This window comes from Homo sapiens, chromosome 16 (genome assembly GCF_000001405.40).
Source record: "Homo sapiens chromosome 16, GRCh38.p14 Primary Assembly".
Classification (NCBI taxonomy): domain Eukaryota; kingdom Metazoa; phylum Chordata; class Mammalia; order Primates; family Hominidae; genus Homo; species Homo sapiens.
The window spans coordinates 21,053,535-21,070,062 of NC_000016.10; the positions used below are offsets into that span (position 1 = coordinate 21,053,535).

At 43.4% G+C, this 16,528-nt stretch overlaps 1 protein-coding gene across 16 annotated transcripts in view; it reads right to left on the bottom strand.

The window, feature by feature from the left end:
* DNAH3 (dynein axonemal heavy chain 3) overlaps window positions 1-16,528 on the bottom strand; it is a 226,349-nt gene that overhangs the window by 120,424 nt on the left and 89,397 nt on the right. For all 16 annotated transcript variants that reach the window (XM_017023432.2, NM_017539.2, XM_047434349.1 and 13 more), the window contains 6 exons: window positions 15,881-16,060; window positions 13,749-13,885; window positions 8,948-9,149; window positions 6,730-6,822; window positions 4,552-4,662; window positions 886-1,000 (listed from right to left, as the gene is read on the bottom strand). In XM_017023432.2, the coding sequence (XP_016878921.1) occupies window positions 886-1,000; window positions 4,552-4,662; window positions 6,730-6,822; window positions 8,948-9,149; window positions 13,749-13,885; window positions 15,881-16,060 (838 nt within the window). The remainder of the gene's footprint in view (window positions 1-885; window positions 1,001-4,551; window positions 4,663-6,729; window positions 6,823-8,947; window positions 9,150-13,748; window positions 13,886-15,880; window positions 16,061-16,528) is intronic.

A 16,528-nucleotide genomic window follows, 5' to 3' on the forward strand; every position in this document is an offset into this window, starting at 1 on the left:
TGGGCAGTATAACCACATCTGCACCAATTATTCCTAACAGCTGAGTATGTGGCCGTGTGAAGAGCACATTTTCCCTTCTCCCTCCCTGATGTTATGCTGGTCTACCTAATGAAATCAGATTGAAGTGAGCATTAACCTGAGGGGAGTGAGATGCCATGAAATGCCAGGAGGGAGCTGGGAGTGTGAGCAAGAGACTCTGTTCCCAAGCAACCAGCCTGGTCCAGCCCTAGTTTCCTTGGTGATGGAGTGAGGGTGTGGGGGTGGTTTGTTTTATATAAAGACCCCAGTTTTTCCTCCTCCTCCTCCTCCTCCTCTTCCTCCTCCTCTTCTTTTTAAAGGAGGAGCTGGAAGGCATCCTCTCTCACCACCCACTGCTTGCAACATTGCCCATTTCCAGTCCCTTAGGCTTGGAAGCAGACAGACATAGGCGATTCTGTTGCTTACTATTATAGCTGTATGCCTCTCAGCAAGTTAGTTACCTCTCTAAGCCCCAGGTTCTGAATCTGTGAAATATCTATGAAAATGAGATAATGTATGTCAATCACTTAGCACAAAGCCTGGCACCTAGCAAGCATTCAAAAATATTATCTACGGCTAGCCAAGGAAATGATTCCACGTTGGTGAAGCTCAGAAATGACTTTGGCCATCATTGTCTCAGTACAAGCCCTGCTTGGAGGGTCCCTGGAAATCAGGTTGCGGATGGGAGAGGAAACACAGGTGGAGGGATGCAGAGCCCTTTGGCTCTCATCTTACTCTCAGTTGGAGAAAGCTCTCCCTAATGAGGAAGGAAACCCTGAATTATTCCGTCCAGGAGAACTGAGATGAGCAAGACTAGACTGCTTCTCCTGGATAGTCAGTAATGACAGGGGAAGCCCCCTGGCTTACCGTGGACATCGATGACCGTGAGGGCCCCGAGAGTGAGTCGAGCTCCACTGCTCAGCTTCCCTCGCACCAGCTGGACAATCTGCGCAATCTGATCATTGCTCTTTTTCAGAAAATCCTGGAAGGGGCAGAGGAGGGGACAACTGGTTACATTTGACTCTCCTCTGGTAATCCCCATGTCAAGAAATGGTACCATGGACCACCGGATGGCTCAAGCCAGACTCCTGGGTGTCATCCCTCAAGTCCAACTTTTCCTTACCCCAGTCCTTAATCTCTGAATGAATTCCTAATGCATTATGCTGAAAGAGGCAAGATTTGGAAGGTTTCATACTGCATGATTTTATTTTTATAGTATTGTGGAAAAGGCAAAATTATAGGAGTGAGCAGAAAATACCTTGGTAATTACTGGAGGCTTGGAGTAGAGAATGCAACTGACTACAAAGGGCCTGAGGACATTTTTTTTGGGTGGTGTGGAACTGTCCTATATATTGATTGTGATGGCCTACACAAATGCATGTGTTTATCAAAACTGAGAACCGTATGCTAAAAAAGGTGAATTTCACTGTATATACCATAAATCAGAATTAACCTCCCAAACTGGAAACTTTTTCACATTAAAGAGACAAAGGAGCTATAAAAACAAAATGCAACATGTAATCCTAGATTGCATCCTGGACCAGAAAAAAAAAAAAAGACAGTAGGGCAATTGGCTAATTTTATTTATTTATTTATTTATTTTGAGACAGAGCCTGACTCAGCCTCCCAAATAGCTAGGACTACAGGTGTGCACCACCACACTCAGCTAATCTTTGTATGTTTAGTAGAGATGGGGTTTTGCCATGTTGGCCAGGCTGGTCTCAAACTCCTGACCTCAAGTGATTCACCCACCTTGGCCTCCCAAAGTGCTGGGAATACAGGCATGAGCCACCACGCCCGGCCTGTCATTTCTTTTTCAAGATGACAAAATTTAAATTAGCCAATTTAGAAAGGTCTATAGAGTAGAGAATAAAATCGTATCAGTGTTGATTTCCTGATTTGGATAACTGTACTATGGTTGTCTAAGATGTTAATATATGAGGAATCTGGATGAAAGATATATGGAAATTCTTTGTATTATATCTTTGTATTATATTTTCAGCATTATTTATAAGTTTCATGTTATTTCAAATTAAAGAGGCAAAAAATAAAATAAAAAGAAAACTTAAAAAGGAAAAAAAGTAAGACCACCCTAGGTTAAAATCCTACCTTCCCTACTTTCTAGCTATGTGGCTCTTGGCAAATGATTTTATGCTTCTGAGTCTCAGTCTCCTGGTGTGTGTCAAATGCAGATTTTTTTTTTTTTTTTTTGAGATGGGGTCTTGCTCTGTCACCTAGGCAGGAGTGCACAGGCACAAACATGGCTCACTGAAACCTCGACCTCCTGAGCTCAAGCAATCCTCCCACCTCAGCCGCCTGAGTAGCTGGGACCACAAGCACACACCATCACTCCTGGCTAACTATTTGTAGAGATGGGGTCTCACTGTGTTGCCCAGGCTGGTCTTGAACTCCTGGCCTCAAGCAATCCTCCCGCCTTGGCCTCCCAAACTATTGGGATTACAGGCATGAGCCACCGTATCCTGCCCTGAATCTAGATGATTATAGCTGCCTCTTCAAGCTGTGTTGAGGATTAAATGAGGTAGTGTATGTGGTGTTGGGGCTTCTCCCCACATCTCTCCTACCCACACCCATTGCTCAGCTATTATAGACCGAAGTGTCTTCCTGCTGGAATACACCATGCTGTTCATCTTCAGGCTTTTGCATACTCCAGTTCTTCTCTCTGGAACACTCTCCCTCCTATTTTCTGCTCAGCTAATCCCTACTTATATTTCAGGTCTTTTCTTAGACACCACTTTTCTGGGAAATCTTCCCCAATCCTAACTTCCCTCCCCTCACTCTCTTACTCTTTCCTTCCTTCTTTTTTCCTCCCTCCCTCCCTCCCTCTCTCCCTTCCTTCCTTCCTTCTTTAAACCCTCCCTCCCTCCCTGCCTCCCTCCCTTCCCATACTTACTGGATGTCTGTTCTTTCCTTATCACAGTTCTGTAAAAGAGCCTTTTTCTCTCTCCCACTAGACTATAAATCCATGAGGAGAGGGACTATGTCTGTCTCATTCACATCTAATTACCTTCGTTAGCAGCAGTACCAGCACAGAGCAGATGCCAAATCAATATTTGTTAAATGAACAATAAATGGTTGGAGGAAGGGAAGGATGATTATTCTGTGTCAACACCTGCTTCCTTTAGGATACGGAGACACATCACACAGCATGCATGCACACCAGGGCCTGGATGTATGACGGGAAACATTCTCCCTAACTATGGGTGGGAAAACTGGGGCACATGAATCCACCTCCATCACAAAAAGTCAGAGATACCATCACAAAAGTCAGAGGATTTTAGTTTCTAAAGTTTGAAATGATGTACGTGAAAGCAGTTTGCATGTGTACAGTGCAATATGTCTATTAGGATTTATCAATATGGAATCTGTATAAGTTTAAACACTGGCCAAATATTAATGTTCTAATTTCAATTTATACAGCAAAATATAGGAAATTAAAACATATTCTAATCCACAGCCAATCCTCTAAGAGGAGTAACAGGAGGTCTGGTGAGATATTCATGGAGAATCAAACCATGGAAGAAAGGCTGAGTATGAAGTTTTCATTCATCCATTTAACAAATATTTGGTCAGGCATGGTGGCTCCCAGCACTTTGGGAGGCTGAGGCAAGGAGGATTGCTTGAGGCCAGGAGTTCGAGACCACCCTGGCCAACATAGTGAGACCCCCGTCTCTAGTTTAAAAAATAGAAAAAGTTTAAAAACAAACAAACAAATCCCCAAATATTTATTGATCATCTACTCTGTGCTGGGCACTGTATTAACCCCTGGAAATATAATAGTGAGCAGAGCAGACATAGCTTCTTCCCCGTAGGGTTTACAGCCTCGTGTCTAAGTACCGAATCATTTACTGGCATCTCATTTAACCCTCCCACAATATTATGATGTGTTGTGACAATTCCTTGCATGTTACAGACAAGGAGCTTGAGAGTCGGGTTAAGTTGCTCATGGTCACGCAGCTAACAAGAGACAGTGTCAGGATTTGAACTCAAGTCCATCAGGTCTTAACAGTCAAGCATTGGCATCATTTGGCTGGGAATATGTGTATTTGGATCTGAGGATAAACAGATGCTTGAGTATACTTGGTCACAAGAGAAAGCTGAAGGCAGGACGGGAGGTGGGTTCATTCGGGAGGGAGTAGGGGTGATGAGAAGGAGGCTGTAAAGGAGAAGGAGAGGCAGATGGTGGCCCCTTGGCTTAGGAAGAATATAGGAGGTCTCCCCTGGTGGAAATTCTGCCAGGTTAGCCCCCAGAAGCCAAGGGTATAAGACTTAGAATCCTGCAGTCCAGAATTTCTGTCTGGGAAGGACTATGAGAGGTCTCGTACCATAGAATTGCAGGACAGCTCGAATCCCAAATTCTCCATCCCACTGTCCTCATGGGAACCCTGATGTCTGTGATGCTGAGACCAAATGATTTTTGTTTAGACAACAAAACATGGCTACTCTAATTATACGTCATTCAAATCCTAATTGATGCTTGGATCTCTTCTGTAACTTTGCAGCAAGTTCACTTACCAGTAAGGTATTTTCCGCCAGGGCTTGGGACACCTCCTGGGTCCAAAAGATGGAGGAGACACAGATAACCACCTGTCCAGGCCACTGTAAGACCCAGTGATTTCGAGGGACCTGGAAAAGCACAGTGGGCATGTTATAGGATCAGTTCACGTGTGGTTTAAACTGAGTTTACGAAAACATGCCCCAACCACCTCACCACCGCAACAAAAACAAAATCTTCCCCCATCCTCAGACGCTACAAGGCTTGACATCTCTGGAATTACTGATTTATGTCTTCCTTTCTGAGTTTTATGAAAAAGAAAAAGAAAAAACACCAATCATCTCATCAACTTTGCATTTTTTCCATGCTCCCATTTATCAAATTTTTCCATAGTTATAATCAAGGTGATGTTCAGAGAGTTCTCATAACTACTGTTTTTTAATGGCTACATAATATTGCAGTGCTGAGTCACAATTTTTTTAGCTGTTTCTCCACCCCACAATTCTTTCCCTCAAGCTACAGATCAGGAGCGGGCAAACTATGTATATAAATTTTTTCATAAATAAAGTTGTATTGAAATACAGCCGCAGCATACAAAAGAATGAGTTCATGTCCTTTGCAGGGACGTGGATGAAGCTGGAAGCCATCATTCTCAGCAAACTAACACGGGAACAGAAAACCAAACACTGCATGTTCTCACTCATAAGTGGGAGTTGAACAATGAGAACACATGGACACAAGGAGGAGAACATCACACACTGGGGCCTGTTAGGAGGTGGGGGGCAAGGAGAGGGAGAACATTAGGACAAATACCTAATGCATGCGGGGCTTAAAACCTATACGATGGGTTGATAGGTGCAGCAAACCACCATGGTACATGTATACCTATGTAACAGACCTGCATGTTCTGCACATGTATCCCAGAACTTAAAGTAAAATAAAATAAAATTTAAAAAAATTTAAAAAAAAGAAATACAGCCATGCCCATCATTTAAATATTGTCTGATGCTTTTGTGCCACAAGGGCAAAGCTACAGTACCCATTTACTATACATATGTGTCTTATAACATTATGTTGTATACCTTAAATATATGCAATAAAATTTATTTTAAAAAATAGTTGCATTGGGAATGTGGCCTGCAGAGTTGAAAATATTTACTATCTGGCTCTTTACAGAAAAAGTTTGATCTGAGGATAAAATTTGATAGATTTGATTTGGATGAAATAATTTCATACTGGTAACTGCTTTTCTTTAATTTTTGATTCAGAGCATGTCATAGGAAAAGGGACTGGTCTTTCATTTTACAATGCAAATACTGTGTCAAGGGACAGCAGGGTCAGTCCCCAGGACTTTAGTGTGAGGGTGTTGAGTATTGCTTTGTTCTGTGGGTGCTGGGAATAAGAAAGTAAGAAAGTTAGAGTCAGTCAGCCGGGCACAGTGGCTCATGCCTGTAATCCCAGCACTTTGGGAGACCGAGGCAAGTGGATCATTTGAGGTCAGGAGTTCGAGACCAGCCTGGCCAACATGGTGAAACCACATCTCTACGAAAAATACAAAAATTAGCCAGGTGTGGTGGTGGTTGCCTGTAGTCCTAGCTACTTGGGAGGCTGAGGCAGGAGAATCGCTTGAACCCAGGAGGTGGAGGTTGCAGTGAGCCAAGATCGTACCACTGCATTTCAGCCCTGGGAGACAGAGTGAGACTCCATCTCAAAAAAAAAAAAAAAGAAGAAAGAGAGCTAGAGTCGCTCAACGTGAATGTGACTACAGGCTGGGTACCAAGTTATTCTGATAGATTCTTTTGTCTTAAGCCTTACGTCATACCTATTTCCCTTTAAGCTTTGGGAACACAATGAGTTATGCCACTCAGGGCATCTGTAAGGTAAATGAATTATTAATTGGAAGGGACTCTAAATAGACTTCGTGCCATTAATCCCATTTGACAAAAAGGACTGGTCCGTGGCAACCAGAGGGTTCCAGCTAACCCTCTTCTCTTGCATCACCTGCTTCTAACTGCCAGTATTTCACCAGGAATAGGTTCATTGCCCCAGGGTTCACAAGTGAAGGAAAGAGAGGTGCAGAGGGACAGGTTTTGGTAGAAAGCAGAGGGTCCAGCCAAACTACTGACACATGAACCTTCTCCCCAATGTTCTCTTTAGTGCACTAGTGTCCTGGCATGTGTACCCCGGTTCTTGTTTACCTTGACATATGCTTCAATCCCAAGTCCAATGACTTCTCGCATACTGGCCAGCATCATCTGCTCCACCTGCTGGAGCCACTTTTCCACCATGCCCTATGGAGCAAGACAGAGAGAGGGTGCAGCAGTCAACCAAAGCCCAGAGGGAGGGAGAGTGGGCAGAACACAGCTTTCTCTCTGGACACGGCTGGAGGGATGCCAAAGGCTTGGCACCTTTTCAAGTCAATATTCTCTGTCTCCCCGTTCTTTTTTTCTTTTTTTTTTTCTTTTTTTTTTTTTTTTTGATACAGAGTCTCGCTCTGTCACCAGGCTGGAGTGCACTGTCATGATCTTGGCTCACTGCAACCTCCGACTCCCTGGTTCAAGCGATTCTCCTGCCTCAGCCTCCCGAGTAGCTGGGATTACAGGCGTGCACCACCACCGCGGCTGATGAATTTTGTATTTTTAGTAGAGACGGGGTTTCACCATGTTGGCCAGGATGGTCTTGACCTCCTGACCTCGTGATCTGCCCACCTCGGCCTCCAAAGTGCTGGGATTACAGGTGTGAACCACTGCGCCTGGTCTCTTCTTTTTTTTTTTTTTTTTTTTATAGAGAGAGACAGGGCCTTGCTCTGTCATCCAGACTGGAGTGCGGTGGCACGATCCTGGCTCACTGCAGCCTTGAACTCCTGGGCCCAAGTGACTCTCCTGACTCAGCCTCCTGAGTAACTGGGACTACAGGCACATGCCACCATGCCCGGCTAACTTTTAAATTTTTCTGTAGAGCCGTGGTCTCTCTATGTTGCCCAGGCTGGTCTTGATTTCCTGGCCTCAAGAGATCCTCCTGCCTCAGCCTCCCAAAGTGCTGGGATTACAGGTGTGAGCCATGGCACCTGGCCTTGGCCCCAGCCAATATTCCAATATTCTTTATCTGCTTGACACTTATTTTCTGTATTCTCAGAAGCATATGCCTTCTAAAGGGGCGATAGGCCTTTTTTTTTTTTTTTTTTTTGAGACGGAGTTTCACTCTTGTCACCCAAGGCTGGAGTGCAATGGTGTGATCTCGGCTCATTGCAACTTCCGCCTCCTGGGTTCAAGCGATTCTCCTGCCTCAGCCTCCCAAGTCGCTGGGATTACAGCATGTGCCACTACACCTGGCTTTTTAGTAGAGACAGGGTTTCGCCATGTTGGCCAGGCTGGTCTCAAACTCCTGACCTTAGGTGATCCACCCGCCTCGGCCTCCCAAAGTGCTGGGATTACAGGTGCAAGCCACCACGCCCGGCCCATTTTTAATACGCATTACTTTCATGTCATTTTCTGAAACAGACAACTTCTCAGAAGGCAAATGAAACATTTATGTCAGTTCATAAAATAAATTGCATCTTTTAAATGAACAGCTCTGATTCATGCATTATTCCAGTGGGTCTCAAACTTTGCTGTTCCTTGAAATCACTTGGAGATCTTTTAAAAAATACTGATGACTGACTCCCACCCCTAGACTTCCTGATTTAATTGGTATGGGATGCAACCTGGTCATTTGGATTTTGATCAAAACTCCATAGGGAAATTCAAATATGCCCCAAATTATTCAGTGTTAGAATTTCAGGTAACTGTAGCTATTGACTTCAGGTGCTTGTAAGCTAGCTGGTGTCTGCATTGGTAATGTGACTCCTGGTTGCTGCAGTTTATACGCGTGGGTGGCAAAAACAGTCAACAAAGCAAGGCTCAGCTTGCTTGTCTATTTCCACTTGAGGGTGCTGTCACTGAGCAGAAATGGAAGTAATTTATACTTTACTCATTATATAAGGACATATGTATGAAAACCTGAGTTAAGTTGCATTATAGCTCTCATTGATTCTATGATGTTTTATTGATCTTTAAAATGAATGCCCCAGGAAGCTACCTGTCTAACTGAATCACTTTCAACTGAACTCTGCACATGGAAATCTAAACAGCATCGGCTGTTTGGATCTGATTCCTGCAATTGACTCCACATCGAGTTGGGTTAAAATCCACAAATTTAATATGTCATGTGGATTGCAGTGGAATCCCCATCTTAGAGATGGGTACACTGAGACTCAGAAAGATTGAGTAACTTCCCCAAATCTTCAGTCGTTACATCGTAGAACCCAAGTGTTCCATACCCCAGGCAGTCTGGTGCTTAGTCCCAGTGCTTAGCCAATACGCTCTCTGATTTACTCTGTTATGGAGAAAAGAACCAAAAATGGGTAAGAGGAGTTACCTTGGCATTAGCTGGGTAGATTTTCTGTATGAATGGAACAGTTTCTTTTTCCGAGCTGATCATGCCCACAATTTCCAGATTGTCTGTAAACTCAAGCTTGGCAATTCCTTCAAAGCACTTCTTCAAGTGCGGCTGCACTCGGAGAGGGTCCTTTGTCTCGGACAAGATTTCCAGCAGCTCATCGTTTGATAGGAAGAAGAATCTATTTCAAAGCAAAGAAAGATGGTAACTGGAACCTCTTCCAAGAACTTTTTCTAGCAAGGTGATACTTTCTGACAGGTAGTCCGCACCTACGTGAATACCAGTTATGTCTTGCGGTCTTCACAAAGGCCCACTCTCTTTTATCACTTTTCATCTGGGGCATGGAAGGTGGAGTTTTGCTTTTCTTAAGAGATGAGGTCTTGCCATATTGCCCAGGCTAGACTTGAACTCCTGGGCTCAAGCAATCCTCTCTCCTCAGCCTCCTGAGTAGCTGGGATTACTGGCATGAGACATTGCACCCAGCTTGGAGATGGTTTTGACTCTGAGATACCACACTTGATCTTAGTCAAAAGACCAAGAAGCGATGGTTTTGAGTCTGACAGCAAGAGAACGAATAAAAGCTGGCATGTGTGGGTTTAATAGGACTGGGGGATGGGTGCTATCAGTTGAAAGGAGCCCGGATAGAACAGCAATTCTCAGCTTTGGCTGCACTTTAGAATCACCTGGGGAGCTTATACAAAATTCCAGAGCCACAGTCCCATTGTCCAGAGATTCTAATAGAATTGATCTGGGAGTGCGGCTGATGAAATTTGTATTTTTTTAAATTTCAGGTCATTCTAATGTGCAGTCAGTGTTGAGAACCACTGGGTAGGGGCAGGAGAGAGAGACTTCCTTGTCTTTCCTTCTCTCCATCCGTGCAAGAACATTGTATAGGCATGATACAAGAAAGTAAATGTTAATAATGAGCCTATTTACATGCAGAGGCCTCTACCACCTTTTATTTATTTTATTTATTTTTTTATTTTATTTTATTTTATTATTTTATATTTTATTTTATTTTATTTTATTTTTATTTTTATTTTTATTTTATTTTATTTGAGACAGGGTCTGTCTCTGTCACCCGGCCTGGAGTGCAGTGGTGCAATCCTGGCTCACTACAGCCTTGACCTCCAGGGCTCAAGCAATTCTCCCACCTCAGCCTCCCGAGTAGCTGGGACTACAGGCGCATGCCACCACGCACGGCTAATTTTTGTATACTTTGTAGAGATGGGGTCTTGCCATGTTGGCCAGGCTAGTCTCAAACTCCTGGGCTCAAGTGATCCATCCACCTCACCTCCCAGAGTACTGGGACTGTAAATGTGAGCCACTGCACTCAGCCCTTTACTATCTTTTAAATTAGAGATAATAAGACAATTTCATCTCTTGTTCAGGCCTAAAAGCAGCAACAACAAACCTTCAGAAAATGTCCAATATTCAAACCTGTACTGTGACCATCAGGCTGAAAGTTCTATGATGGAGGGATTGTGTGATTATGGTCTTTACCAAATATGGTGGATTACAAAAATGGCCACGATATTTACAGTTCCTCTCATCAAGGGGTGGAGTCTGTTTTCACATTTCTCAAACTTGAGCTGGCTCTGTGTCTTGCTTTGGCTAATAGAATGTAAGTGAACATGAGTCTGTGCACGTTCTAAGCCTAGGCATCAAGAGGCCATGATGCTTTCACTCTTGCTGCTCTTAGGAACCCTGTGACCACCACCATATAAATAAACCCAGGCTAGTCTTCTACAGGATAAAAGACATGTGGCCCAAATACCTGTTGTCCAGCCAGTAGGAAGCCAATGACCAGACAAGCAATTAAGGATGCTGACTGATGGCTGACTGCAGTCATGAGTGAGCCCCAGTGAGGCCAGAAGAACCACCCAGCCAAGCCCAGCTCAATCTGCCAACCTAGAGAATTCTGAGCTAAACTGATCATGTGAAACATGATTGTTGTTTCACACTTCTAACTTTTGGGGTCATTTGTTACTCAGCAAAGCAAACGAATACACTGTATCTACAGTGTTGAGCAAGTACAAAGAGTAATAATTATTTGTTGCTGATCAACTAACAAATATCCAGTGAGATGTCAATTTCTCCCACTCCCAAGTGAAATTCAAATGGGTGATCTCTATGGATATACACTCCCTCTATCTCCATCATGTGCTATAATGAATAAGGCTCAATGGCCATAAGAGTAATAATACATTCGTATAATTTAAAATTAAAATCTTTTTTTAGCAATCTGTATTTTCAAGATGAAATTAACTTAAATTATGTGACTATCAACAACATTCTCAAAGTGTTTGCTGAGAGTGTTTAATTTTATTTTATAAAAATGCATAAATATTGAGGTAGGTGTGTGTGTGTGTGTGTGTGTGTGTGTGTGTGTGTGTGTGTTTAACTTAGGGTAAAAATGTGGCTCAGAGAGGTTAAATGGCTGAATATCTTATCCAGACTTCCTGGGTATCAATTCTAGCTTGATCATTTTACCAGTCTTGTATCTTTGGGCAAATCATTATTTTCTCATTTATAAAACAGGGACAATAATAATGTTCCCAAACCCATAAGAGTATTACAAAGATTAAATTAGTTAGTTAGTAAGTGTAAAGCACTTAGAGCAGGGTCCTGGTGTAAGGAAATGCTATATTAGTGCTATTATTCATATTTTTTTTTGAGAGAGAGTCTCGCTCTGTCACCCAGGCTGGAGTGCAGTGGCACCATCTCGGCTCACCACAATCTCTGCCTCCCGGGTTCAAGCAATTCTCCTGCCTCAGCCTCCCAGATAGCTGGGATTACAGGCACCCACCACCACGCCCAGCTGATTTTTGTATTTTCAGTAGAGACAGGGTTTCATCATGTTGGCCAGGCTGGTCTCGAACTCCCAGCCTCACGTGATCTGCCCACTTCGGCCTCCCAAAGTGCTAGGATTACAGGCAGGAGCCACCACGCCTGGTCTATTATTCATATTTTAATTAGGAATAACAGGAGTGGGTCTAGAACTAGAAGCCCAAACCTCAGGTGTTTCCTGAGTTTAATCTCTTCCCAAGCCTTATGTGTCAAAACCAGGGTTCCTTCCACTATACTGTGCTGTCCAATACAAAAGCTATTAGCCCCATGTGGCTATTTACATTAAAAAGTAATATTAACTAAGTTAAAAATTGGCTTCCTCAGTCACCTCAACCACATATAAAGTGCTCAGTGGCCACTGGCAGCTAAGGGCTACTATATTGGACAGTACGGACAAAGAACATTCCTATCATTGCAGAAAGTTCATTGGATAATGCTGAATTGAATAAATACCAAAGATACTTCTGAGTTTGTTTATTTATTTATTTATTTGAGACGGAGTCTTGCTCTGTCACCCAGGCTGGAGTGCAGTGGTATGATCTCGGCTCACTGCAACCTCCACCTCCCAGGTTCAAGCAATTCTCCTGCCTTAGCCTCCCAAGTAGCTGGGATTACAGGTGCCCCCCACCACACCTGGCTAATTTTTGTATTTTTAGTAGAGGCGGGGTTTCAACATGTTGGCCAGGCTGGTCTTGAACTCCTGACCTCGGGTGATCCGCCCCCTCGGCCTCCCAAAGTGCTGGGATTACAGGCATAAGCCACCGTGCTCAGTCATACTTCTGAGTTTCTAACAAATCATTTTTTGTTTTTTTTTTTGTTTTTTTTGGTAAACAGCAGGGAACTAACTTTGTCTCCATATAAAGAAACGCTAAAATTTATGTTTCTTAAAGGTAAATTAGGATCAAACATCCTAAGTGGGGTCAAATGACATGGAGTGACCATCAATGGTGAACTAGTCATGGATAGATTATCAGGAATGTCAGGAGTGAGAATTCACCTTTCCGAAACTAACCTTCTCCTTTTTTTTTATTTTGAGACATGGTCTGACTCTGTTGCCCAGGCTGGAGTGCACTGGTGCAATCTTGGCTCACTGCAACCTCTGCCTCCCAGGCTCAAGCGATCCTCCTACCTCAGCCTCCAGAGTAGCTGGGACCATGGGCAAACACCACCACACTGGCTTATTTTTTGTATTTTTTTGTAGAGGTGGAATTTCCCCATCTTGTCCAGGCTGGTCTCAAATTCCTGAGCTCAATGAATCCTCCCACCTTGGCCTCCCAAAATGTTGTGATTATAGGCGTGAGCCACCATGACCAGCCTGGAACTAACCTAAAACTCCCTTGACTTTTATGCAGAAGATTGGTTCTTGTGTGGAAAAAAAGAGTCAAATATGTATAAGCATACCTATCAGAAACTACAAAATTTGATGGTATAAAAAAATTGACTGGTGTTTCTTAAACACATAGGCTAGGTGCTAAATGTTTTTACATGTGTTAGTTCATTAATGTGTACAACAAATACATGAAGTAGGGGCCATTATTATATCCCAAATTTACGGTGGAGAACCTGAGGCTTGGATAGATTTGCTGGAGGCCTCAAGACCACTAGGTAGAAAAGCTGGGATGCCAAAGGAGGTCTAATTAACTCCAAAATCCAGGCTCACAGTCATGAATACTCTACCCCCGTAATTAGGAAAAATAACAGTGTTGGTTTGGACAACGTGTGCATTTGACACCCATTGCTGTCCATTCAACCTCACGCTAAGTAAAGATGGTGAAGCCATGCCCCATTCCTGAAAACTGTCTTGGAGAATGGAAAACCAGGAAAGAGTATGGACTAGATTGGTTGAAGCCAACTCTTGGCATGAAAAATGTAATTCTACCTACATATGGGGCAAGAATGTAATTCCAAATAAAAGAACAATGCTGGATACCTGGGGAAGAATAGTCTCTTCTTCTCCAAGTAATCATTCAGCCCTTTCTGGATGTCCTCCAAGAGAAAGTTGGCTTCTTGAAGCTTCTCTGCCATCCGTGGCTGGTCGGCTGCCACCAGAATCCTGTTATCTTTCACCTGGGTTCCATCAAAAAAAGTGAGACTCATCATAAGGTTCCCAAGTTCTGAGATTGGTCATTGTATTGAATGTGTGACCTATCAACTGACAGCACTCCTTGTCCAGCTAACTGCCTCCTGATCCCCCTCCTAACTGCACAGGGGTGAATGCTTATGGAACATGACCTTGTTCCTCTGATCATGGTTGACTGGGCAGGGATTGGGTACTAAAACCAACCAAACCCAATTATATTTTAACCCAAGGAGTTTAGAATCCAAACCATGACATTCTATACTAGTTTGGGCTGAGTGAGAATTATGTTTCTCTGTGTGACGGAGTGATAGAGAAAGCCAGTCTTGGGGGGGGGGGTGGGGAGGGAGAGAGAGAGAGAGAGAGAGAGAGACTGACTAAGGCAGGGCCAGGAAAGAGGAGCCAAGATCAGAGAGATGGAAGGAGTTCCTAAGAGAAGAGGCTTCTGGGTTCTAGATCCATCTTTTGTGAGGCTTGGCTGTGCTATTTGGCCTTGGGTTCCATGAGACACCCATTTGGTCTTCTCGTTTCAGCTATCCTGAGTCAGTTTCTGTCACTTGCACCCAAACAACCTTAACTAATAAAGAATTGGCTTATGCTGGCTGGACAATCTAAATTCCATTTATCTCACTCCCACAAACAAAGCAGGGAAGACAAATTGCTTTGCAGCAAAATCTTTTTAAGTGCACCCCAGTTTGATCACACTTGACTTAAGAAAGGAAAATGATTTGACCTCATAAAAGATCCCTCTAGGTGCCTTGCACGCCCAGTGAACTTACCATCCTTCAAGGCTTGATCCCAACGTTCCTGCTTTAGAGGCCTTCCTTGACACGCTGAGACAACTAAATCACTCTTCTGCATTCTAATAACTATTTGTATATTACTTTTTTTTGGGTGGGGGGGGGGACAGAGTCTCGCTCTGTTGCCCAGGCTAGAGTGCAGTGGCGCAATCTGGGCTCACTGCAACCTCTGCCTCCCAGGCTCAAGGGATCCTCCTGCCTCAGCCTTGGAATAGCCGGGATTACAGGTGCACACCACCATACCCAGTTAATTTTTTATATTTTTAGTAGAGACGGGGTTTCACCATGTTATCCAGGCTGGTCTCCAACTCCTGAACTCAAGCAATCCGCCTGCCTTGGCCTCCCAGAGGGCTGGAATTACAGGCGTGAGCCACCGCACTCAGCCAAGGCAGCAAATTCTATGAAGACAGAAATCATATTCTTGCCACCTTCAAGTATTTTCTGATTTCTAGTATAACACCTGGGTCATTGTAGGTACTGAATAAACATTTGTTAAATAACTGAGTAACCAAATGTGGGTAATTGTTGGAATTCTAAAAGGATTCACTATAAAACTGTTATTGCATTATCCTGTAACAAATACAACCTTGTAAGAAATGACAGTTAAATAATACAAACTGCCTATAGTTACTGCTTGGGAAGTGGGATTTCAAAAGGCTTCTGCTTTCTATGTTACATATTTGTATTTGCTTTTTTTTTTTTTAATTTTTTTTGAGACGGAGTCTTGCTCTCTCTCCCAGCCTGGAGTGCAGTGGCACGATCCCAGGTCACTGCAACCGCCGCCTCCTGAGTTCAAGCGATCCTCCCACCTCAGCCCTCCGAGTAGCTGGGATTACAGGCATTCACCACAATGCCTGGCTAATATTTGTGTGTGTGTGTGTGTGTGTGTTTTTAGTAGAGATGCGGTGTTTCACCATGTTGGCCAGGCTGGTCTGGAACTCTTGACCTCAAGTGATACCCCCGCCTTGGCCTCCCAAAGTGATGGGATTATAGGCATGAGCCATCGCACTGGTCATATGTTTGCATTTTTAATAATAACAACTTCTGAAATTAGAAGAAGATATAAAAAGATTGATTTTCCAAAACTCTAGTTCATTTACAAGTTTCAAGGAAGGTGACTAGAATGCATAATGAGGAAACATTTGTATTTCTGCTGGTAAGAGTTATTAGGGTATAAAAACTTACCGCTTGGGACATAAGTGATTTCCAGTAACTATCAACAATGCCAAATTTCCTCCCCTCTTCTGGCATCTGGGCTATGATGTCCTCTGAACTGAAGATTGGTTCCAGGTACAGCCAGGTGGCTTGGCATTTCAACCAGGCATCCAAATTGTCTTGTATGCGAATTAGCTTTTCTTCCCATTTCTGTGAATTTAGCATTTCATATCTGGATCATTAACCTGCCACTCTGCATCACAGGCCCATGGAGAGAGCAAATGGATGGAGCCGTACATTTATTCATTCATTCAGTCTGTCACTTGTTTAACAAATACTTATTGAGGGCTCCCTATGCTCTGGTCACTGCTCCAGGTGATGAGAACATAGCAATGAATGAAACACACAAGAGCTTTGCCCTTTACGGAGCTCACGTCCTAGCAGAATAATTACAATAGTTATACACGTAATCTGTGAGAAGTGATGGTCTGAGTGCTTTAAGTATATGGAACCAATTAAATCCCACAGCCTTACAAGGTAGATGTGATTACAAACCGTGTTTTCCAGATGTAGAAACTGAAACACAACAGTTTAGTAATGTGCCCAAGGTCACACCACTAGTAAGGAGCAGAGCCAGAATTTGAACCCAGGTAATCTGGCTTCAGAGTTTGTGTCCTT